Source organism: Homo sapiens, chromosome 15 (assembly GCF_000001405.40).
Source record: "Homo sapiens chromosome 15, GRCh38.p14 Primary Assembly".
NCBI lineage: Eukaryota > Metazoa > Chordata > Mammalia > Primates > Hominidae > Homo > Homo sapiens.
Genome location: NC_000015.10, coordinates 48,204,854 through 48,231,198, shown reverse-complemented (window position 1 = coordinate 48,231,198; position 26,345 = coordinate 48,204,854). Strand labels below are relative to the sequence as shown.

Sequence of the window (26,345 nt, the reverse complement as noted above, 5' to 3'; positions counted from 1 at the left end):
TACAAATAAATGCCATGTAGGAATGTTTTCTATTGACTTATAGGTGGGAGGCTTTGGCTGTCTTTCCACATCTCATGACTGCTTGAGATCTAGTTACTTCATCCACAGGCTCGTAGGAATATTTTCAATTGCACCAGTCACTTGAGGGAATTACAAAGGAGGCAAAAGACATGTTTCCCATCATTCGGAAATTTACTATCCATTTTATCACTAGTTAAACTCAGAGATTTTCTGGTTCTAAAGCCTATGATGTGCCTAAATTTGCTGGTGAAGTACTGGCTTTCAGATGAGAATGATAGTTTTTGCCTCTCTTATGTTCTCAACACACTTGCCATTTCTCTTGGGCTTTTGCACCCACAGGCAGCTTGAAAGAGGAACCAGGGTTTGTGATTGAGAGACCCAGGCTTCCAGCGTGCACCACTGCTATGATCATAAGGGGTCTGTGCATAAGGCAGCCGCCTTGGTGACAGCACAGAGAGACAAAATACGGCAGTCATGTGACTCGTGAGCCCTGAATCATGACTGCCTGGGCTTCGTGCTTTGCAGGCTTGGTGTTCCACCTAGCACTTGCCTGCTCATTTCACCATAGCAGGTAATAACAGCAATTCCTTTTGAATATGGAGTTCCCTCTACTCCTGCAATTTGTTCAGGACCTGACCAGCCACTGTTGATAATATCATTTTTGAGAAATTTACCTTTGCCTCCCATTCCATTCCAGCTACTGAAATTCCTAGAAGAATCACCACTGTGATGGAGCCTATAATCCGGATGTCATTGGTTGGATCCACCATCATCGAATCACTCTCCTGGGGAAACAAATTATTAAGTGCTTAGAGATACAGCTTTTTGCATGTGAGTCTTATTGCAGCATTTAACAGTAAAAAGAGATACTATACAATTACACCTGGGGCCATATAGGATAATAGAAAAATGGAGTATTCATACATTTATGAAGATAAAAAACCTAGCATTTTTTTCTGTGATAATAGGCCTTTGATAGTCAAGGTTAGGAGTTAGACATTTTAGAGATTCATTCTAGCTTTTGAAGTTGTTGTAGTATTAAGTGAAAATATGTATACATATACATATTGTGTTTTATTTCAGAAGAATGACTAGTTATTTCTGTGTGTCAAGGGGAATCCTAGCAGAATAAAAACGGATGGTTTACAATGTAAATCCTGAAAGTTAAGTGGTGTCCTATGTAAGACCAGATGACACAAACCTGATAATGCATCTCTTGAAGGTAATATACCTTGTGAACTGTAAGCTCATTTATTTATCTAATTTTTAAATAGAAGTACTTTTACCAATTGAATTCAGTGAATGCTATCATTACTATGAGAAAAGGACTAGAAATTAGTTGATATATCAGCTAATGAATGTGCTTGCACATGCGACATCCTAGACTAGGCACCTAAACTAGGAAATGGCTAGTTTTCTGGAGTGAATTATTTTAATTTTTAAACTTTCTTTCCTTTTAGAAATCTATAACCATAATCATAGTACTACTGTTGACAGCAATATCCATTATTTATCTGATGTTGCATATTTTACACAATATTTTGTGTACATTATTTCATTTGATCTGTGCCACACTTCTGTGAAATACATATAACAGTATTATTAGCCCATATTATAGATTTGGAAAACAAAGTTCGGAAGAATAGAGGAACTAATCCAAACTTTCTTGGCTGGTAAGTGCGAGAACCTGGACTCAAAGCCAGATCTTCTGATGCCAAGCCCAGGCTCCTTCCACTATATTTAACTTTTTTCCTCTCATTTAGCTGTAATGATATCCCTTAGTGCCCTGAGAAGGCAAACTAAACTAAATTATGCTGCTTGGCAGAAAAAAAGAAAAGCTTTTAATTACCTTAAGAAGATCTACTACAGTCTCAGCAAATCCCACCACATACATAGCAACAGCCACTGCATTAGCAAAAGCAAAGATCAGGCCTATTGACCCACCGAACTCGGGCCCTAAACTTCTGGAAATAAGATAGTAGGCCCCACCTGAAACAAGAAATGAACATACTTCACATTGAGGAACTGCTAGTTTATATAACCAAACGATTGTGACTATCTGAGAACATTTACAGTGTGAATTATTTCAATAACAGTATTACAACTTCCCAGTAATTTTAGGAATCCTGTGTTACCCAGTGAATAACTTAGCCCTTCTTGGTACTCTGTACTTAATCTACAATAGAAGTATCCTGACTTAATAAAGCCCACTCTATTAAAACATAAATGTAAAAAAGCTACAAAAAAGAACACAGCAAAATTTACAAAAAATGCGTTGTCTTTATAAAAATATCATTGGAGTATTCAAATTAATAATGCAACTGAAGTAAAATTTTATATAAAAAATTTCCAGGAGTAGGAAAGTCTAGGTAGAAAATGAAGTAGTTGAAGTTTATCTTTGTTTTTCTAACTTCCTTTCTGTTGTGTATATATGTAAAATATATATTTACACATATATAGATATATGTACATATATACAATTTCCTAATATATATGTGCTGCATAAAATAAGATATCTGTATTATCCATTCTTTAAATCAAACTTGCTTTTCTATGTTTTTAGTGAAAGAAGGCATGATATATATATATAAACATATATATACAAAACATATATAGGTACATACGTAAAATTTTCTGATATATATGTGCTGCATAAAACAAGATATCTATAGAGTATGATGTATTATTCATTCGATAAATCAAACTTGGTTTTCTATGTTTTTAGCTCAAGAAGGCACGATTATTCCTAAATACCCATATATGTATGGGTGTGACAAGTAGGTCCCTTGCCTGTTGGCCACTGAGAGCACAGTGTTTGGGAGTTGCAAGTGGGAAGAAAAGTGGGGAGGGTCTGGAACAATTACTTCTCCCTTGGACATTGAAAAAATAGTTCTATTAATTATATATAGTTGCATACTTCTGTGCATATGAAGGATTGAACTAGATTGGTCAAATGCCAAAAGGGTACCTAGGGCAGCTTATTGAAGGTGAAAAGCACTAGATGTTAGGAGGTCTGATTATCACAGACCATAGTAAGATTATGACTTCCTATACAGAGCTGGCTTTGGAGGTAGGCAGAGTTGGCACAGCAATGACAAACCAACATACCTAAAGACAAAACAAAATTACTTTTTGCTGAGAGAAATTTCTTTCACTATAGTAACTCTTTTGGGCTCAGGGGTCAAAGTCCTGTCTAAAAATGTAGCATATTGTCTGGGTGGAGCAAATCCCCATTATTTCCTTTATACAGATCACCTTAAACAAATGAGCTAGTCAGTTACCTAGGTGGGCTGGATCAACATGAGAGACAGGCAGAAGTTGAGAGTGGAAGTGTGTTGTGGGCAGGATGTTTTAGAAGGCCCTGAGTAGGAAGACCTGGATAAGGTGCCGAAGTAGAGAACCAGAGAAACCAAAGGGGAAGGGGAGGGGGAACAAAGGAAGACAGAACAACAATACATTTCATCCATTTCACTTTCTGCCTAGGCCTGCCTACTCCTAGATTATTTGAAAGTAACTCTTTGCTTATTTATTTGTTTATTCCCTTCTAATGATCTTCCCTTGCCTGTTGGTCATTGGGAGCACAGCGTTTGGGGTGAGCCCCGAGGCCTGGGTGCAGGAGTGGTTTACTGAGTGGCAATCATCAGCAATGCCATCTGGGGCATTGGAGAAGACCCATGCTGAGAGGACCTGCGAGAGAGCCAGTGGGTCTCATCCAAGGTACAAAGAAACCATATATTTTGCTATAATATTCCATACCTTCTTACTAGACACATAGTCACTCTCCACTTTATAAACATGTTTTGTTACAAGAAATGGGTCATGTCAATGAAGATATTCCAATTTTAGTTGAGAAAAATTTTGCTTTGCTGTTTAAATTTTGGGTTATTTTGTTTAGGACACTGGGGACTAATTAGCAATATGTTACTTTCACTTCCAATAGTAAATTAACTCCAGACATTACTAGTAACCAAGCCTCTAGTCATAAGTAAATTAATTGGCTTACCTCCTCTTACTACTCCATTCGTGCAAATAGCAGACATAGAAATACCTGTGAGTGTCGTTACTACCACACTTAGGCCAATGATGATGACTCCAAGACCTGCAAAATCCCCCAAGAAAGGTGTTTGGTTCCAGTACTGAGAGAAGTCACCAGTACTTCAGGAGGCAGCAGTCTGAATCTTGTCACAGAAAGATCCACCTCCCTGTGAAAACCTGAAATGTTCTAAAAGATCCCATTTCATGAAGGTCTAGGAAGCACCTGAAATGTACTAAACGTTAAAACAGAAGCCAAATCTGGAATCAGTTTCCAAGGAACATCAGCTAGAGGTGTGCAGACTAGCCTGAAAAAGAAAAAGTTTACCTAAGGAAGGTGCACATCTGTAAGGCATAACCTACAATGTGCCAGAGAGATCCATTAGAAAAGAGACCAGAGTAGACCTGGACTATTCTCATCGTACCTTAGGTTTTCTTTGGCATCCAGCTCCTCCAAATAGCCAGGCTTCAAGAACATCGGGCTACTTCCTTGTTCCCATCAAAAAGAAGTATAAAAAATTGTTCGCCTACCCGTAGCAAGTGATGAGGGCATTAGATATCTTAGAGATTTTACCTCCACGAACAAACCCGTTAGTTGCTATCGCAGAAGTTGACAACCCAGTAATAGAAGTTACCATGGTGGAAAGAAGAATTATGAGAACTCCAAGACCTGTTAGCAATGAAAGATAGAAGATATTGCATTTTACTTTTCTTCCTTGGATTCCCTATTGCTGCAAACTACACTGCCTTTAACTTAAGTTTTCAGGTCCATGCCTCGGGCTCCAACGGGGTTTCTTTGTGCTAAGGAGAAACTGGTTTGCCTGGCATAAAGACCAAGTCAGAGAACTGCTCATTATGATGAAGGATGGTTTCCAAAAGTAAACACAATCGAAAGTGCAGACTTGGAAAGGAAAAGTTGACTTATGCTGGTGTCCTGGGAGAGAAACTATCCTGGCTGTGAAAAGAGAAAACATGACATTTGACCTTCTTTCTTGCTTGAAGGAACTGGAATGAGAAAGTTGGGGGTTTGACAAAGGTTAAATCCTTCCCCATTTTTCTTGCATCTCTTTGCCTGATGGGGGAAAAGAAACCAACTTGCATTACCTTTGAAAACACTCCAGAAAGGTCAGTGGTGAACTGTTAGAGCCTGTGTTGCCTTTACCTTACAAATGATGGTGCGGGTCACAAGTTTAATTACCTCCTCTGACACATCCATTTGTGGCAATAGCAGAGGTGGATAAACCAGTGATACCAGTCACTGTCACGGCTAAGCCGATGATAATCACACCAAGACCTCAGTTGAAAGAGGAAAAATAAAGGTATTAAATGGTGGAAGAATTCATTGGATCATTTACATAAAAACCAGCAAGTCTAGGGTAAACATCAAAGGACCACATTTGAGTTTAACAAGTTGGCTAGGAAATCACCATGGAGTAAATGCTTAGCTTTGAAGTTTTCTGCTTGTAGTAGCTCTGGTTCCAAGAAACTTAAGAGCTAAAATGTGCAGAACTAAGTTGTACAAAACAAAGCCACTAGGGCTGGTCAAAATTTAATGTGCACCCCATCTTATTATTATTATTATTTTTAGAGACAGTCTTGCTATTTTTTCCAGGCTGGTCTCAAACTCCTGGCCTCAAGTCATCCTCCTACCTCAGCCTCCCAAGTAGCTGGGACTACAGGCTTGCACTATTGCACCTGACAGAATTCCATCTTTGGAGAAGTTATAGACACCTATAAACATGATAATTGGCCTACAATTCCAAGCTGTCAAGATAACTAGAGATTAAATGTTCATCCTTCCAGGTTACTATCTTTTTATGTACATTTGGTCACATAGAGGTGGAGAACTACATACAGTATAGCAAATTATTCATCTGGCAGATGGGTAAAGTGGAAAGAATGAAATTAAATTACATTAACTTGTTGACCGTGTGAATTCTGGAAAGTTGCTTATTATGATAAGTCACCTCAAATAAATAAATAACTGAGCCAAAAATAGCAATGAAATTAGAAAGAATGCATGTGTAAAATGGCTAGCATAGCACATGGAACACAGTACACACTCAATGATATTGCTTTTTGATCATATTCACAGTAGTTATAATACTTACTGCTTTTTAAAAACCTACTATATATCCAGCTATGTGGCAGGTAATGTAAGAAACACAAGACACAAATAAAATGAAATTTAAAAAGCTGCCCCAAGGATTTTATGGTTCAGAAGGTTGATGATTATAAAGAGAGGGAGAAAGTGGTAGAGGCCAGAATTCAACGAAGCCGTGACTGCTTTCAGCTTCAAGAAACACATAGCCAGGAGTCTACAAAAGGGTATCAGAATATATCACTCTGGCATAAGGATTATTTGGAGCTGAGACAACCGAAAAAAAGTAGATACAAGAAAAGCTCTCGATCCCTTCCTATTTACCTAAAAACGGGACATAAATTTGTCCTCCCTCCCCTCTCTACCAGAAAGTGATGTCTCTGATTACCAGAGACAATTTTGGATGCTTATCAGCCTGACAAAGGCACCACAGGCATCTACACAACAAGCTTTGCTGACAAGCTCTTATCTTCCATTCCTTTCCTTATATATTTACCTTGGCAGCATTTGCCACCCTATGAATGAAAAGTCCTTTTCCTTTGTCTTATCACCTCTCTACGATTTAATTGTTCTGTTGTTAAGATGATATATAAGCCCATGTTCTAAGCAACCCTTTAAGTCACTCATCACTGAGTGGTCCCATGTGTATGTACCATGTACATGTTAATAAATTCTGTTTTTCTCTTATTGATCTGACTTTTGTCAATCTAATTTATAGGCCCCCAGCCAATGAACCTAAGATGGGTAGAAGATAACTGTTTTTCCTCTCCTACAATACCCTCTCTAATGGAGGCCGACCCAGAATTCAGGGAGAGGGCTGTGGAGTCACAGCCACTGAACTCACCCTGGCTCCATCCAGAATGCTCTGGTCTGGGCTGTTTGGTAAGCTCCCCTATGTAAAGTGAATGCTCCATAGTTGTTGGCAGGCTCTCTCGTTCCAAGTATGGTTAGAAGGGTAGTCAGCCACGAGAGGCTGTGATCTCTCTGGCCATGCTCAAGGAGAAGGGAAAGTGGAAGGAGGTTAAGGGCAGCAGTGGGAATGAGTCAAGGTATTAAAGGCTGGTTCTTTTGAAGCTCTTGGCCATACCCTGTCTCTAACAGCAGCCTCTAGGCTTTTTTGCAGGTTAAGGTGGAGTGGGAAGAAGCTAACTAAGCACAGGCTGCAAACTTGGACCATATTGCTTTAGACCCTGTAGACTCTTAAAAGCTTGGGGTTGTAAAAAATAGTTGGACCAAATTCTTCATATCTATTGCAGGGATACTGTGGTGAGCAGTGCCTCTGTATCACTATGTGGCTTCAGGTCCTTGTGCCACTAAAGGTGATTTATTCTGCACTTGTTTTGCTCCTGACTTTGTTTTGAAGAAGCTTGATAGAAAATGTTTAGCATACCCCAGAAACTCTACAGGACCATATAATTTGCATTTCATAACACTAAACCTACTCCAACCTTATTATTTCCTCACTGTTATTTTCCTTTTGACTCTAGTTTTTTCAACAATTCTTAATTCATCCTTTTGCATTGTATATATTTCTCCAAACCATTTGAAATCTTGGAACAAAGTTTTATACTTTTGAACAGCAAGGGATTTGCTTCTCTCTCATAATCAAACATAAAATCCCAGGGTAGAAGGCAGCTTGGAGAACATTCAGTTCATTGTTTTCTGAAATTGTGGTTCTTGAACCACCTGCTTCAGGAAATGCCTGGGGTGCTTATTAAAAATGCTCAGACCTACTGAATTTGGATCTTTAAAAGTAAATCCCAGGATTCTGCAGTTTCCTAACCTAACTTCCCAGATAATTCTTATGCATCCCTCAGTAAGACAACTAAGCTACCCTCAGCCTATTTCAACTTGTGTCTGCCTGTTCAGAAAGGTACTTTAGCTTTATCTTCAAAGAATTCATTGGGTAGGAATTAACCTGCTCCTTAATATTTAGAAAAGAAAGGGAAACACCGAATGTAAGTGACTTGCTTCAGGTCATACCGGCTTTCACACCTAACTTCCTTGCTTGATGGTTAAATTTATTGGAAACCATCTTGCCCCAGCAAGGTCTCCAAGATAGAGAAGAACAACTAGACAGCATTAGCAGCTCATTCAGCCCTTTGCTTTTGGGAACAAGACAGCCAAAACTCGTAGCCCAGAATGGTTACCCAAGGGCTGTAGCTACTGTTACTCCTGGCTCCAGATTCCTTCTGGCTCTATTCCCAGGGTCTGGGCTTGAAAATGTATTCAGATTTCTTCCTCAATCTACCCCCAAAGCAAGAACAAATAGATGTGTTTGTTTCTTTTCTTCCCCAATAAGGAAAACCCAAATGGGACCCAGATGGTGACTTAACTCATTAAGTTTTAGGTTCATAGCAAAGGCCAGTAAAACTGAGTAAGGTTGACAATAAGTTTCTAGTACTCACTAAAGTCTGTCTTCCGAGAATTAAAAAAAGAAAAGAAACGAAAAGAAAAACACAAACCTCCATTCAAAGGAAAATCCATTGAACACTTACTAGGTAGAATTTTACTCTCTTCTAATATATAATTTAACTACTTCAATATAAAGATCTTTATTAAAATAATATTAATTTTATTTTAATATTTTAATATGATAGCATAATAAACTGTTTAGCAGAAGATAGGATTCTTCATTCTCTACAGTTTTGCAAGAAACTCAATACTGGGTTGACTGTGAAGAGTAATGTAAGATCTGATTAAAGTTCAGATTATTGCCCAAACGTATGGATGTTAAATAAGTTGCGTTAAAAAGAATTACTCTTGCCCTTGGCTACTCTCACACCTCCAAACAAAGTAATGTTTCTTGATGATCTCAATAAGTTACTAAAACTACCCTTAAAAACCTAATTTTGCATGAAACCCTGGAGCAAAACCTTGGCAATATTAAGATGCAGATTTTCCATGGAACGGCATATACTTATTTTGGACCCTGCGGCTGTGAGCATTCATTTGTTATGCATCATAAAACCGGCAAGCAGCCCTCTGTCAGGAACCCAGCAGTTGCCAAACATGAAACATGGAAAAACTATGGGAACTGGCTCCATTTTTTCAATTTACAGCTTAGCCCTTTCTTTTTTGAGTTAGTCTTCCGGTGATGCTGAATGTGTTTTGAAGAGCAAAGCCAATAAATAATGACCAACTACCTTTTAAAATGTGAATTGAGATACCTTCTGGAGTGCTATCTGAAAGCACAATAGAACTTCCATATTCCTGAGACTAAGTCTTCTCCGGAAAGTGAATTCATAATGTATTTCCCATATATGGAATAGAACATTATTAATTTTTATCTCATTAAATGGGGAACTTTAATACAATTCAATTAGATTTTTCATAAAAACTTTACTAATATACTTTCAACAAAAAAGATTTGCTAGAAGAAATAATATTTAAAATAGAATGTAATATTTAAAACATTAAACAACCACTCAAAATAATGTCATTATTATCCATTTTTCATTTAGAAAAAAATAACAGTAATGCACATATTATCTTAGTCATTTCATCTTTCACTTAAAGCTTGTATCTGGCAATATTTGATTAACCTTTGTTTTCTTACTGCTGGTACCCGAAAGTAACACAATTATTTTCTTTGGAAAAAGTTCAACAATTCAGCATTTTTATTAGTCAGGTCACATTTTCACCAGTTTTCTCACAAGTTATTTTTGTTCAGTGAAGTTTTACCAATCATGCCAAGAAGGATACTCTGTAACAAATGAGAGGCAAATGTCAATATGTCCCCCAATACAAATATTATTATCTAAAATTAACATGCTATTATATGTCTGTGTACCTAAAACTCTATCAAAAGAGAGAGATCTCCTTGAGCATTCACCTGTTTGGCAAGCTGGAAAATTCCAGTTTCATAGGAGTTAACTCTTCACCTTTGCTTTCTGACAAACATCGTCAAAGAAGCAAAGTAAAAGGAGCCCAACTGTAAATTATTTCTGTGACCTTCATCTCACATTCAGTATTAATGGTGAAAAAAGATTGCTTATTGAATTTATGATTTACATGCAAAATTATTTAGGAGGGGAAAAATGCTTACCAATTCCAGCTTCTCCAACAATCCAGGAGAGGCGAATGAAGAGCATGACTCCCCAGATGTTCAGCATGCATCTTACCTGTGGATAGAAGCGGTATTGAAAGGAGACAGGACAAACGATAGTGGGACAAAACCCGGGGCTCTTCATAAAGCTGTGCCCAGGCCTTGTTCACTCTTAATCCACTAGAACATTGAATGGATAGTTTTCATTTGTAAACAGAAGAGCTTTCTCACCAGCACACCTTTCACCCATCCAAACTTCACAACACCAGCTTGATCATCTTCCTTATTTTCAGCTTGTTCATCTCCAGGTATCCCATCACCGTTAGCAACTCTGTCAGCTGAACTTGGGGTGACTGCCACATTCTGCATTTTATAGATAGCAAAAACACAGTAGTTGGTCAATGAACAAAGGGTTCCATGAAACTTTTCAAAGCAAATCAAAACAATTGAAATAAAACTTAAAATACCAAAAAACCCCCAAACTAAATATATTCTGAGAATTTTAATGAAACTTATATTTTTTGCCCTGGAAGCTGAAAGGTTCATTTTGTGAGTCATTTTAAAGTGTTTTTTAGGGCTGGGTGAAGGGAACCTGAGATGTTCTTCCACTAGTGAGAATATTTCTTCTGGTGAAAAGTCAGATTTGGATAAGTTTAGCACATAAGAGAAACAAAAGAGAGAAGGGCTACAAGGAAGGGACAGCCAGAGTAAATAAGGGTCTTTGGAAGTCATGTTACGACCAAAAAGAGAAACTTCCTGAGCTAAGTAGAGGATCTGTGCTTCTTTTGGTGAAACTCCCTGTACTTCATTTTATCTATCTATCTATCTATCTATCTATCTATCTATCTATCTATCTATCTATCTACCTTTTTTTTTTTTTTTTTTTTTGAGGCAGAGTCTTGCTGTGTCACTCAGGCTGGAGTGCAGTGGCACAATCTTGGCTCACTGCAACCTGTGCCTCCCGGGTTAAGGCAATTCTTGTGCCTTAGCCTCCCGAGTAGCTGGGATTACAGGCACACACCACCACACTCAGCTAATTTTTTGTATTTTTAGTAGCTGGGATTACAGGCGCGCACCACCACACCCAGCTAATTTTTTGTATTTTTTGTAGAGACAGACTTTTGCCATGTTGCCCAGGCTGGTCTCGAGCTCCTGAGCCCAGGCAATCCGCCTGCCTCGGCCTCCCAAAGTGCTAGGATTAGAGGTGTGAGCCACCGCGCCCGTCCTATTTTATTCATTTAAAATCATGATGATAAAACTTCTCTACACACCTCAGAGGATCTTTAAGAGAATTCAATGAAAGACACATAGACATGTTTTCTGTCTTTCTTTCTTTCCTTCTTTCTTCCTTACTTTTTCTTTCTTTCTTTTTCTTTCCTTCTCTCTCTCTTTCTTTCTTTCTTTCATCTTTCTTTTTTCATCTTTCTTTCTTTCCTTCTCTTTGACAGAGTCTTGCTCTGTCACCCAGGCTGGAATGCAGTGGTATGAACTCGGCTCACTGCAACCTCCACCTCCTGGATTCAAGTCATTCTCCTGCCTCAACCTCTAGAGTAGCTGGGACTACAGGGGTGCACCACCACGCCAAGGTACTTTTTGTATTTTTAGTAGAGACGGGGCTTCACCTTGTTGGCCAGGATGGTCCTGATCTCTTGACCTCATGACCCTCTTGACCTGAAGGCCCACCTTGGCCTCCCAAAGTGCTGAGATTACAGGCATGAGCCACCACACCCGGCCGACAAGTTTTCTAAGAAAACAAAACAATAAAGTTTAAAGTATTCCACAAAAGTTTAAATGCACTGGATGATGACAAGAATGTTATTCCTGTAGAAGTTTCTTTGAGATTCCGTTATGCCTTTGCCTGAGAATTGTTGAATATGCTAGTATCTTATAGAAGATAAGAAGTTTCATAACTGATTACTAGTTGAGTAGAAATAAGAAGTTGGTAGTATAAATAAGGGTTTAAACTTTTATATGGTTTTTTCCTGTGGCCTCATTTTGAAAAAGACTTCCATTCTCATTACAATAGTATCTGAGCTCAAGAGGGCAGGAAACAGCTCTTTTTCTGTCAAATTGAGAATAGTTCTCTATCTATAATTTCTCTTTAAGATATGGGTTTGAATAATTTCAGATGCACTTACTTAATTTAGCTTATCTGGCTTTTACCAGGCCCTTTGTGTAGACTGTACTTCTTTGAGCTCTGAAAACAGTTTTCTTTTCTAGGAAAGATTTTGAAACCACTGGGGAAGGCTCTGAGATTGAGCCCTCAATTACCACGATTATAGAATGACTATATCTTATTTAAGTGGTCTAAACTGGTTTAAGCCTAGGATGATATGTTCTGATATCACTAGTTAAGAAGTCTTAGATAAAACCATTTTTTCTTCCTCTAAAATGGAGCTGGTGTGAAATAAACATCCATATTTATTATCAAAGTTTCATTTTAGGATGATTGAAGCTCTTGCCCTTGCCATACTCAAAGGCTCTTGCTTCTTTGGGCTAAGGTATAGCTTACCCATGGTAAACTGCCCTCATTTGGCCTCTATACTCCAAGTGACTTTGACTTCTTGTCTTCTTCTTCTAGCCTGTTCTTCTCCTTGTCTTTTTATTTATTTGCTTTTCCTTCCCGAGGTGAGTGCATTTTCTTTGTCTTTGTAAGGATTTCTCCTCAAACTCTTCTTTCTTGAGACCTTGTTCATGATACTATTGTGACACTTGGATAAGCAGCATAATACAGAGTCATAAGAGTCATTGTGTGACAAGTGAATCAGAGAAAGATTCAGCACTTAATTACCATTATTATAGGATGATTCTAAATTGTGGGTTACTTTTTCTCAGTACCAGCCAAAGGCTTGGCATGTAGCAGGCCATCAATAAACAATGCTGAATCAGCCAGGTGCAGTGGCTCATGCCTGTAATCCCAGTACTTTGGAAGGCTGAGGCAGGAGGATTGCTTGAGCCCAGAAGTTTGAGACCAGCCTAGGCAACATGGCTAAACCCTATCTCTACAGAAAATAGAAAAAAAATTACCTGCGTGTGGTGGCATGCACCTCTAGTCCCATCTACTTGGGAGGCTGAAGTGGGAGGATTGCTTGAGCTAGGGAGGTCAAGGCTGCAGTGAACCACAGTTGTGCCACTGCATTCCAGCCTGGGTGACAGAGTGAGACCCTATCTCAAACAAACAAACAAAAACAACAATAACAAAACAATGTTGAATTCAGAAGGTGGACTTGAAAGTTCGTGATCTCTACCCCTTAAGAGCAGATATCCTAGTTTCTTATCCATTCTTGCCTCCTACTTCTTTTATCTTCCATCTCTATGGGACAGCTCATTTCTTATTGTTTCTTCTGGGTAGGTCACATTTAAAAGGGAAGAAGAAGGGACTGAATCCTAAGACAGATTATTTTATTATTTTCTGACAGTATTGGGAAAAAATGGAATAACAGAGGAGATTGAAGTTAATAATTAAAATTTAGCTTTTAATTACCTGAGGAATATGTTAATCTTAGATATCCTCAGTCCTTATTTGCACAAATAATTGAAAGCTAACATAATGTATTCACACCAATGTAAGAATAAACGCAGTCCAAAAAATTGAGGCTAACATAGTGGGGCAGAAACTGGTCATCTATACCAGCTATAAATGCAAACCAAGTATGTAATTCAAAATTTTCTACTTTTTAAAAAGGAAAAAGAAATTGGTGCAGTAATTAGGTTTAGAGATGGACCCTTACATTTTAAAGATATACTTAATCTTTGGAGAATATCATATTTCTAATATTTGCAATATAAGTATTTATTAGCAATAGTTGCACCCCAACTTGTAGGGAACTGAATCACAGGAGTGTTTTAGTAATGTATTTTACTTAATAGAATATCTATAAAATATTACTTCAATATATAATCAGTATAAAAATATTAGGAAATATTTTACATTCTGTTTTTAATACTAAGTCTTTGATATTCAGTGTGTATTTTCCACTGGCAGTACATCTCAATTTGGACTAGCCATGTTCCAAGTGCTCAATAGCCCCATGTGGTTAGTGGCTACCATATTGGACAGCATAGGTCTATGCAATGCAGTCAATTTCAGATGCATGAAACATTTGAGGCTGTTTTCCAGTCCATTAAAAATTCTGTTTTTCTCTGAAAGAATTCTATACACATACGGCAGCTGAATAGGTCAAATGTAACTTTCATTTTTTTCATAACTGAAATGTATAATCAATGAGAGCAGGGAATTGAGGAATGTGTTAAAATGTCCATGACTATTGAAGGGATTATTTTGTTAGGAGATCTATTTATTTAGTTTGATTTGAGAAAAACTTTAAAAAAAATTGTCAATATTCTAGTTAATCAAAATCCCATAGCCAGACCATCAGTAGTTACTCACTTTGGGAGAGGGCAATTTTCTTTGTGTAGATTAATTGGGGATCCCAAGAGACACAGCCTTAGTTGCTTGCCTTTTTTAAAGATGGTCTTGGGAATAAAACCTATGTTTTCTGATTAAACTTGAAGATTTGGTCTGGGAAATTGCTCTGCTAGCTGATAAACTCCAATGGTGATTGTGACCCTTAGATATGAATTGATGAGAATATCCAAGACTGTAAACAAATCTTACAAAGTAGGCTAAAGGATGAATAGGGTATTTAAAATTTCCTCTAAAATGAACTTTCCTTCCTGATGGATGCCCTTCCTGGTCACAGTTTAATGGTTCTTCAATTTATCACTAGGATTTCACAATATGATGCAAAAAGAATATTCTATGAGAGGATGACAGGGAAACCACTATATGTGCAAGTTAGTAAAGCAATCATTTTCTAAATTATTCAAAGGTGTAGTCAATGTAGGGTGTTCAACTCTCCCTTAGGTATTAATAATATGTTCAACCTGCTAGAATTTCAAAGTTTTAAATATATTTATACCATAGAGGGGAAAAAAACCCCAAATGTATACTTCTTTTGTTGACTATTAAGGTCTGACAGTAAATTTACAAGCACAGAAGCCATTTCCATTGCTTACTCTCATGTAGGAGCCAAAAAATCCTGCACCGTATAAACTAGGATACTTGGAATCTAGTTTTGGTTGTGCAATTCATTCAGGGTACGTCCTCCATCAAGGTGTTTAACCGTGCTTGAATACTGCCAATAAGAATAAATCCAGTGGATTTTGTGAAAATCTTATCTTGAAGTAATTTACTCTAAGGCAAAATTGTTTTTCTCTGTTTGCCATCTTACAGTTCTGACATGGCAAAGCAAACCTTTGTTTCACTCTTTAATAAATGCCTCCTTAGTAAATCAGAACAGCAGTTGTAAACTCATCATCAAAGTACTGAACATGACTTTGGGTGGAGGGTTTGTGGGGACTTGATGGCTATGAGCTGTGTAGCAGGTGGCCTGCAGTCTCCCAGCTGGTTCATGTTCTTGAGGCCAAAGTCTCAAAGACTAAAAGTTTTATGATTACTGCCTGAAACCAGTTTTTCCCTTCATACATTGAATTAATTTGTTTGTTCACACTCCCATTACCATAAATGATGACCCATAACCTTTTATAAATGTATTCTAAATTATGTAGCTTTAGGGAATGATTATTTATTTACTAAGAATTTTAACTGTGTGTTAAGGATTCAGGAAAAGTAAAATAAAGTATGTTTAAAAAATGAAAAGAAAGGAAGACCACTTGATAACAGATTATCCCCACTCCAATTTTGACAACTAATGAATCTTCAATCACATGCAGTTTAAAGGGCAATGAGTTCTTGATAATGAAAGATTAAATTATTTTATTTAATATGTAATGTGATTTTTCAGACCCCAGAAACATATCAGATACCTTTATAGCTATTATCAAAGCTGAGGAAAATAAATATATTTGTTCTTTAAGTTCCAGCTAGATACTATTTGTTACTTACATCTTTATGTCTATCATCAAAGCAGGGAAAATAAATATATTTATTCTTTAAGTTCCAACTAGATAATATTTGCTACTTATACATTCTTTTGAATTTTGATCCTTTAATCTCAGGTTGATAGAATTTTTAGACCACCACCGAGAGACAGTTCCATAAATATTCACACCTAGATGATCCCCCTGTTGTTTTAAACTTTCTTTTATTATTGTCATATTCAAACATATGTAAAAGTAATGAGAATAACAAAATAAATCTCAGGTACTCATTATTGAGTTTCAACAATGATCAACATATGGCCAAACTTGTTCCACCTAACCTAAGCCCCTCCCACTCCTGCCACTCAATTATCTAAAAACCAATCCCAGTAAGAACCAGATGATTCCTAAGCTTCATTTCAGAATGAAAAACATATGATTCTAACCATATTTCCATACCTTACTGATCAATATTATTATGTTTATACATTTCTATCCCTTTGTGATAAAAGGCAATATTTTAAATTATGAAAATGAAAGTCTTTTTTTCTTGTTTTGAAAGTTATTACACATTATGCCTATAAATCACTACCAATGGTCACAATTTGTAATCATAGTGCATTTACTATAGCTGAAAACACATATCTCACACACAAATTGACTTGTGTTTTTGATAATTTAGGACAAAAGTTAGCTATGTGCAATAAACTGGCATATGAAAAAGAAAATGGAAAGGTTCTTAATATTTTCCAAGTATAAGTTTAAGGGAACTACTGCTCTTCTTGCCATGTATTACTAAACTATTTATAATAAAAAATTAATTGTTTTTGTTTTTGTTTTTTTTCCCAGAGATTGTTTTAATAGTGTGAGCTCCCCGGGGAACTGGCCCTGAGTACTAAGAAACTCTAACTAAAGTATCAGAATGAACTCTTAGTTGCAGAGGTTCACTCCAACAAATATTTTAAGGGTGGCTTCTGGTCACTGGACTTTAAGGCATTTATTGCTTCAATTTTAATGTCTATTTTATTTGGCTGTTGTTAGCTTAGTAATTATTTCTAATTTCAGATATCCCCAATTTGAATGCTAAAGTTGCAAATTTGAACTTTGAAACACTGTAGAAAAGGTTATTTTCTAGAGAAAACATTCGTACATTTTTGTCCTTTTATAGAAGATAAGCATTTAATGTATATTTTAATACATTGATTTATGTGGTTTAATGTTTGTTAACTTGACTACATTTCCTTTATTCGTATCCATAACGATGTCGTTTGACTTATAAAATTCTAGAGGAGGCTGGGTGTGGTGGCTCACACCTGTAGTCCCAGCACTTTGGGAGGTTGAGGTGGGCGGATCACGAGGTCAGGAGATCGAGACCATCCTGGCTAACACGGTGAAACCCTGTCTCTACTAAAAATACAAAACAAAAAACAAAACAAAACAAAATTAGCCGGGCATGCTGGCGGGCGCCTGTAGTCCCAGCTACTCAGGAGGCTGAGGCAGGAGAATGGTGTGAACCCGGGAGGCAGAGCTTGCAGTGAGCCAAGATTGCGCCGCGGCACTCTAGCCCGGGTGACAGAGCGAGATCCCGTCTCAAAAAAAAAAAAAAAAAAAATTCTAGAGGAAAGAGGTCAAGTCACTTTAACTCACTTTACACAGAAACTCTTGTAAATACATGCTTAATAAATGCTTTTGATGGTGACAATGAAAATGATTGAGACATAATTAATTCTGTAGGACAAGCAATACAATCTTTTGTCACAGTCTCAGAAAAAAGGACTGAAACAAGGAAGTACCTCCTGCTCAGCCCATCATGACAGAGTGTGATTTTCTTCTTCGTGCCTGAGTCCCACCATTCTCTACAGCTGTTGAATGAGTTAATGAAAAGTGCCAAGGGAAAGCAGACTGAGGATGGAAAGTAGAACTGAAGATCAAGGACTCTGGAGTCCTGCAGACATGGGTTCAACTTATGAGCATGTGACCTTGGTTTCTTGACCTTGGAAGTTCATTGACTTTTGCAAGCCTTTGTTTTCTCTTCTAAAAGATCCACAGCATTTTATAAAACTTTCACCATCCATAAAAAAGCAATAATAATAGTACCTTCCTTGAGGGGTTGTTGTTAAGGATTGAGTGAGAATTTTTTAAGTGTGAGCACAGTGTCTGAAACATAACAAGTTCTCAACAAAAAGTTGGTTATTACTACACTGCATTTAAAGTTAATGCTTTTATTTACGAATTATTTGTAGTTGTTAACAGCATAATGATCCAAATATAGTCATTTCATTGATTTTTTTTTGGATTAGTTTCTATAGAGTTAGCTTCTTTAAGAATAATATTTGTCTTAATTTTATAGTATTTTATACTTTTCATAGATAGCTTATTTCAATGACACATGGCTTCGATAGAAAGTCTATATATTTCCTTGAATCCTTTTAAATTATATTTTTCTGAAATGCTAACAACAATGGTGGTTAGTAAGGCTGAAAAGGAGTTCCATTTTGGTTAGTCCTGTAGTAAGGAATTGGATATGAAAAGTTGGTCACAGGAATTAGGCTGGATACTGAAAGCAAAATTCTCTTTACAAAGTAAAGGCACTAGATTAATCTTTGCCAGATGTCAAATAATTATTACATATGCTTTAATACGGAAAGATCTCGAGGGTATGTTTGGTAAAAACTGCAGAGTGCAGAACAATGTGGAAAATACGTCTGGTACATGTTTGAAAATAAATATAAACAGAAAGTTAGATTGATAGGAATCCAGATATTTATAGATATATGTGTATGTTTATATAAGCCTAGAACATTTCTGGAAGGATTTACAAGAAACTGTTAGTAATGATTGTCCTGGAGAGAATAACTGAATATTGATGTTAGAAGAGAAACATTTTATTACATATTTTTTAGTATTTGTTAAATATTTTATTTGTATTTATTTTTCTGTTAAAATAAAAAGCTAGTATAAAAATTACCACTATCATCATCGATCATTTATTGAATTCTTACTCATTGTAAGGGTAGACTTTATACTTATAGAAACTAATGTTCACAAGCATCTTGCAAGATAAGTAGAAGTTATGTAGTTCATACAATAGCTTGTAGAGAGCAAGTAAAGGACAGTTGTTTCTCCTGCTTTTAAGTAGAGTTTTCAGAAATTTATAATTAACGGTCACCAGTATAGGTATTTAGCTCTTTACTAACATAGATAATAAAAAGAATTTCTTCAATTACGATCTCAAGTCATTGGGATTATAAATTCTGTCAATATCTATCACAACTAGAGTTTCATTTAAGGTAGAGCCTTAAAATAATGTCTTTCAAACCTGTTTTTTATTTTACCTATTAGTATAATTTTGTCATGTAACTTTTTTCTCACTTGGAAATTATAACCAAAATTTACGCAAAATCCAACTGGTTTTCTGACTAACCATGTTCTGCCATTCGGTATGAATGTGCTATTGCTATTATAACTTTTAAAAGCATTCTAATCATAGTTACAAAAAGTATTGTCTAGCTTGTACTGTGTCAATTACCTTCTACTTTTAAATGATTTAAGTAAACACTATTATTTATATTTTTTGCATACAAAATCTGTGAAGGGTCTGAGTATAATCACATAATGTTTGTTCTGTTGATGATTTCTAGTTGTGATTTGAGGAACTACCATAAAAATGTCAAGGGCCACAAGGAGGTGGCAGCACAGCTACAGCACATTGCAGGTTTTCACTTCTTATATTTGAGGGGGGAAAAGTAAGGAGAGTAGCTGAGTCAAATTCATTAGCAAGCAATAAAAAGATAAATTAAAGAAGGCCCAGACTGCTACACATGGAGAGCCAGGCTAGGCCATACAATTTCAGCAACACTAGAATGGGCCTGGCTGCAGAAATGTGCACATTGTAGATTCTGTGGTTGAATCTGAATTCTACTCCCAATTTGGCTATGTGGATACCTCTTCATGATTTAATCAAGATGAAGGGTCCTAGATAACTGAGCATCAAGTCTGTAAAAGAGTAGCTTATTACTATACACTTTCAAAATGATTATTCAGAGCTTAGGCCTAATTTTTAATATTTTAATTTGCCATTCCTTTGTGTCTAAGAAAAAAAATGCTTTAAGTCGAAGTTCAGTCTTTAGTTTCATTTTATGTCTTCAAAAGTGATACAATATTCCAAACAGCTATTACATTTATCTAATGCAGCTATAACATTCCTACTGTGTGGTCATTTAGATGGCTTTCTGTTTCTTTTTTTTTTTGAGATGGAGTTTCACTCCTGTTGCCCAGACTGGAGTGCAGTGGCACTATCTCAGCTCACCGCAACCTCTGCCTCTCAGGTTCAAGCAATTCTCCTGCCTCAGTCTCCCAGGGCCAGGATTACAAGCATGTGCCACCATGCCTGGCTAATTTTTTTTTTTTTTTTTTTTTTAAGTAGAGAAGAGATTTCACCAGTTGGTCATGGCTGGTCTTGAATTTTTGACCTCAGGTGATCCACCAGCCTCAGCCTCCCAAAGTGCTAGGATTACAGGCATGAGCCACCACACCCAGGCTTTAGATGGCTTTCTAAACACCTGTTCCTTCAGAGCTTTTCTCCCTTTATTGAAAGATTTACATAAGCCATGGCTTTTGCAATTATAAATAAGCTACTTTTCTCTGTCGGGAATGTCAGTCCTAAGAACAATGTGAATTTATCCCATTTCTTTTTTAATGAAGTTAGAATTCTATTTTCTTTTGTTGTAAATTGGGGAAGTAGGTGAATGATAATATTTAAATTGTGACACTAACTTTAAAAAAGGAGGCAGATTTAAAAATTATCATGTGTGACGTGGTAGAGTATTGTGGGATAGAATTTCAGGTCTTTTTAAAAAAGAACTTTGATTCATTTTAATTCTTCAGAAACAATTGAAATATCTTTTTATAATGCCCTAAATTTGTTTCTGCCCTTTCCATGTCTTGGAAACTCCTGGGGGCTGCTTCTGTCAACCTTCTTTTCCTTTCTCTTCTCCTTTTTCTCTCTGCCATTTTCCTTTCCTTTCTTGACACAGAAAAGGACAGTGACACCGCAGCTGGATTTCAACAGTTCAAATTGCCTCCCTTCTCAAAATTCTTCATGGGGGCTACCATGTTGTCTGAAATTGTCGCATTGCTAACTTCTTTTGATTAAAGCATCAAATATGCCAGATAAAATCTAAATCTTAGGTCTATAAGGAAACCAGCCATTTGGCAGACTGTTGCCGATTTAGTACACAGGACTAGCAAGTTTTGGTGGGGAAAGGGGACAAGGAAACAAAATTAAAAACATGGGCTCCTCCTCAGGAAGTCACTTGGTCTCTGGTGGTAGGACCCAGAGTCAGGGACCCTAGCAGCCAAGGCAAATACGATTTGGAGATGGATTTTCTTGTGGAAGGAAAGGTGAGCAGAAACTAAAGAAAGATTTTCCCCTTTATTAGCATCTTTCCTGAGAGTAGTATTCCTAGACTCTCGGGTGTGGATGATCATTTAAAAAAATATTGAAGGAACGAATGGATGAATGCATACAAAAGGAACTGTTTGAATCATTTTCTTCTCCTCAAAACTTGGGCAAGAGTAAACTCATTTGAATATGTGACATCTAATCATTCTTTTTAGCAGGTAATTGTGTTTTATAAAGAATGATATTTATTCCAAACTGGTCTGGAAGAGCAGGAAGATAAAGGTGATCAGTATATTTTGGAGAAAGTTATGGAAGAAGAAATCTACTAAGTTCTAAGATTGGAGGCCGGGCATGGTGGCTCACACCTGTAATCCCAGCACTTTGGGAGGCTGAGGTGGGCAGATCACCTGAGGTTGGGAGTTCAAGACCAGCCTGACCAACATGGAGAAACCCCATCTTTACTAAAAATACAAAAAAATTAGCTGAGTGTGGTGGTGGCACATGCCTGTAATCCCAGCTACTCAGGGGGCTGAGGCAGAAGAATCGCTTGAACCCAGGAGGTGGAGGTTGCGGTGAGCCGAGATCGCACCATTGCACTCCAGCCCGGGCAACAAGAGCGATACTTCGTCTCAAAAAAGATTGGGAAAAGTGCTGCCTCACTTCTAACAGACTTGGGAACCCTGGCTGTATTTCTTAAATAATGAAAAGTTTAGTCACTTCTGCTGCTTCTGTACTTTAATTTAGTTATTTTTATATGCTTAAGCACATTCAGGAGCCTCAGGCAAAGTTTTAAAGAGGAAGGGATAAAATGCTGAATCTTATAAATCTCTGCCCTTTCTTTAAAGAATATAAAAAATACCCCTACACACTAAAGGCTGTCACCCACAGTATTAACTACAGCAAGCACAAGTGTTTTGCTTTTTATACGATTGACATAGAGACATTAATACTGACGTGAAACCAGCTTGGTATTCAGTTTGACGTGTTTAACCAAGTGTGAATTGAGTGGACTATAATCATATACAAGGTACAACATATTGCCTAACATTTAGAGTTAATTCTTTAGTTCTCTATCCTAAGTCAGAAAACATTTGTGGAGCTGGGCACAGTGGCTCATGCCTGCAATCCCATCTCTTTGGGAGGCCAAGGTGGGAGGATCCCTTTAAGTCAGGAGTTCGAGACCAGCTTGAGCAACATAGCAAGACCCTGTCTCTACAAAAAATAAAAAAGTTAGTCAGGTGTGGTGGTGCATGCCTGCAGTCCCAGCTACTCAGGAGGTTGAGGTGGGAGGATTGTTTGAGCCCAGGAGTTCAAAGCTGCAGTGTCCACCACACTTCAGGCTGGGTGACAGAGCAAGACTTTGTCTCAAGAAAAAAAAAAATCCAAAGAAAAAGCATCTGTGAAACACTTTTCTGGGAACTAGGGACAGTTTTGTAAGTAAGATGGATAGTGTTTGGAATAGACCTCTCCATTTGACTGTTTCACATTCATTCATAGTGTAATGAAAGAGAAGGAAATTATCTGAAGTTATGAATAAGGGAGGAGACTTGCTTGTGTCCTTCAAGCTTACCTTTGCGAGTTGCTCGTGAATCTCAAGCAGGCTGGGTCGGTTGACCTTGGGCCCACTGATGCTGCCGGTGTTACGATAGTACTCTATCTTGGGAACGGCATCCATGGTGTTGTGGCCAAAAGTTTGTAGATAGTATGTGTTTGTGTGAGAATCATAAGCGTGAAAACTGGCATCTGTTTTAGCAGTTTCTCCACTTTGGAGGAAATTGTCATAGCACTCCTGATTCCCAGGCCTAAAGCTGATTCTGAGTCTTTTCTGAGCTTCATCCCCAAAAGAGGTTTCTTCATAATGTGGTGGGTCAGTATTGTCATCTGCAGCTGCACTGCTCTCATGGTTCTCATTTATGACACTAACTTGAAAGCGATTGGTATTACTGGGCACTGAATCCAGAAATACATTGGAAGAGTTGTTCAGTGACATCTTCCAAAATTGATTTTTTACTGAGCTATCTACTTTGTGGTTGTTTTAAAAAATCTATATATTTCTTCATCAAAATAAACACTAATGTGCTTCCATTAGGGAGCTCCTGGCTTTTGTTCTAGATGATTCAATAAATAGATTCTTGATATATTGTCTCCGATATAATCTTCAGGATGTTCTTCAAAGCTGTCATTGAAAAAGAAAATTAAACTTGTTCCAAGTAATACAAATATATTTAGGTAAGGGTGGGATATAAGGGAACAGTTTTATTTTACAAGACATACAATTTTAAACTCATTTCACTAAAATTTATCTGTCCAGGAACCTTAGTCATGTGAGTAATTAAATCTGATAATAAATAACTGGAAAACTGTTCCAGCAAACAGAACTTCCAATGCAGTCATTAAAATGTTACCTGTGTTTGTAGTATTTGCTTGAATTCAGTGCACTGGAGTTCACTGTGACTTTAGAAAAGATGTAACTTTACTTATTGAATACAGTAAGAGCTGATGAGAATATTCTCAGCCTAAGACACAGTTCACTGACAGTACTAAATGCTGAAACTGCAAAGTATTTTGATTGTTAGGAATATATACTATACAACATATAAAATGAAAAACAAAACTTCTAAAAAATATATTCTTGCTAGTTTATAAAAATCTGTACATGTTCAACTTATAAATTCCAAATTTTGTTACCTATGCAACAAGTAAAAAATTATGTTTTAGAATATGCATTTAAAAAATACATCCCATCAAGATGATGTCTCTGTGAATTCTTAGATCTTTTACAAGATCCAAATGTTTCATTTGCTCATACATTTGTTTGTTTTGCAAATACTAACATGAAACCTTAAAAAAATATGAATATAGAAATAAGTCATATATCTATAAGAAATAAGTCATATACCTTAAAAAAGTCCTCTGCTATGTTTAGGTAAAATAATCATGCTCTACTGACTCATTTTAATGAAATGTCTTCAATAATTGAGAGGTTTATATTTGACTGTGAGGTGAATAGACTTCACAATAATTTTCGCAATTTCATAGTACTGGCCTGTCTTAAAACACTTGCTTTAGAATTATATTTCCTTATTGATACCTTAAAATTTGGCTTTTCAAGGGAAGTTCTAGAAAAATGAGATAAATATAAATAAAAACTTGTCTCTCTCATGCAGTTATTAAAGCTGTGTATTTGAATTAAAAAAACCCTCAACTTCATTTCTCAAGTAACCTTTCCTGGGGAAATTATAAATGAAGCTATTATCGTTTTAGTTTTTACAAAACACTTCTCTTCATAGTCCTTGACACCCTCACCTACTCCTCAGAATCTACTTTATGACATAATATTAAGTATGATTTTTACCCTGCCCAGAAATGTTCAACTTACCACCAAGGAGCCTTCTTCTGAGGAAATGTAACCTGCTTCAGCGTCACCCAGGAATATATGGGACACTTAGCTTTCAGCCAGAAAGTTAGGCTTCTGCTTATTGGTTAGAAACTTTCTTGAAAGAGATGACTGTGCAATGATTGGCCTGGAATAGTACTGTAAGCCCCACCAGGTCATTAGCCCTGAGGAAACTTAAGTACCACATCAACTGGTAACTAGTAGTAAACCATTAATCCTTTTAGACAGGAAGTAACATAGAGTTTCTTTAATTCATAAGGAGAATTGGATCCCTTAACAGCAATTGTCCAAAAAATATGAGCATTGCCATTAGTCATTTGGGAATAGATAAATTGAGTTCCACCGTCTTACAGATGAGTCCTAGTGACCTCCTATTGTTTAGCATGTGTATCAAAATATAGTTCTCCAGAGACAATTTCTATACTCTGTAACTAGAAAGTAGTGTCTGAAATGATTTTATCTTGCTTGTAGTAGACATTACCTTGACTCTTTTGCATGGGAAGTAAGCAGATTAAGAGTGGAATCAATGATTTATTGAAAATATTTCTATTTTGGGAAATATGGGAAAATTTTTTTTTTTTGAGATGGAGTCTCGCTCTGTTGCCCAGGTTGCAGTGCACTGGTGCAATCTCAGCTCACTGCAACTTCTGTCTCCCAGGTTCAAGTGATTCTCCTGCCTCGGCCACCTGAGTAGCTGGGATTACAGGCGCCCACCACCACGCCTGGCTAAATTTTTTTGTAATTTTAGTAGAGATGGGGTTTCACCAGGTTGACCAGGCTGATCTTGAACTCCAGACCTCAGGTAATCTGCCCGGCACAGCCTCCCAAAGTGTCAAGATTACAGGTGTGAGCCACCGCGCCCAGCAGGGAAAACTGTTTTAAGCAGGAACCAAACTGTGGGTAAGCATCTCAGTGGCACTACTAAATGACCTTTCTGTCTCCAACTAGAAAAACATTTTTTTGTCCAACTCAGTTTTTGAGTTTTGTTGAGGAAAAGGTTTTTCTTTTTCAGATCTGCAAGTAGGTGATTATTAACACTGCAAACAATTCCTCCCTCAAGTCTGTCACTGATTATCAATCAGGATGATTGAATGAGTCCTCTTTGTTTCTTATAAGAAACGATTTAAGTGATTTCCAGTTGTCTGAGTAGCTCGGTTGTGGTGTAATATAGTGGCTAGGAGCAAGACTCAAGTCAGAAGGCCCAACTTATGTCGTGGCCCTGCCACTTGCTGTCTGTGTGAACTCAGTCAAGTTACTCAATCTTTCTGTGCCTTAATTTTCTCATCTGCAAATGCAGTTGTGGATTATAATTGTACCTACCTTGTTGTAGAGTTATTTTGAGGAATAAATGAGTTAGTTTGTGTATGGGGTTTAGAACAGCAACAATTTGTACCTAGTGCTTGCTTTCACTATTTTAGCGCTATTTACAATTAGCTGGGGATTTTTACTTAGCACATAC

General features: G+C 37.1%; 1 protein-coding gene and 1 long non-coding RNA gene across 4 annotated transcripts in view; one reads left to right on the top strand and one right to left on the bottom strand.

Annotated features, from left to right (window-relative positions):
• SLC12A1 (solute carrier family 12 member 1) overlaps nt 1–24,897 on the bottom strand; it is a 97,777-nt gene extending 72,880 nt beyond the window's left edge. The window contains exons 1-7 of one of the 3 annotated variants that reach the window (NM_001384136.1): nt 24,869–24,897; nt 23,060–23,665; nt 10,434–10,565; nt 10,203–10,278; nt 5,252–5,347; nt 1,871–2,010; nt 696–806 (exon numbers count right to left, since the gene is read on the bottom strand). In NM_001384136.1, the coding sequence (NP_001371065.1) occupies nt 696–806; nt 1,871–2,010; nt 5,252–5,347; nt 10,203–10,278; nt 10,434–10,565; nt 23,060–23,479 (975 nt within the window). In that variant the 5' untranslated portion in view covers nt 23,480–23,665; nt 24,869–24,897. Of the gene's footprint in view, nt 1–695; nt 807–1,870; nt 2,011–4,024; nt 4,121–4,627; nt 4,724–5,251; nt 5,348–10,202; nt 10,279–10,433; nt 10,566–23,059; nt 23,666–24,868 lie in introns of all 3 variants that reach the window. The other 2 variants (NM_000338.3, NM_001184832.2) reach the window with 2 other exon arrangements.
• Nucleotides 767–4,029, top strand: LOC128966560 (uncharacterized). The gene is made up of 3 exons (XR_932204.4): nt 767–852; nt 1,108–1,243; nt 3,606–4,029. It is a non-coding gene; the product is annotated as an uncharacterized LOC128966560 (long non-coding RNA).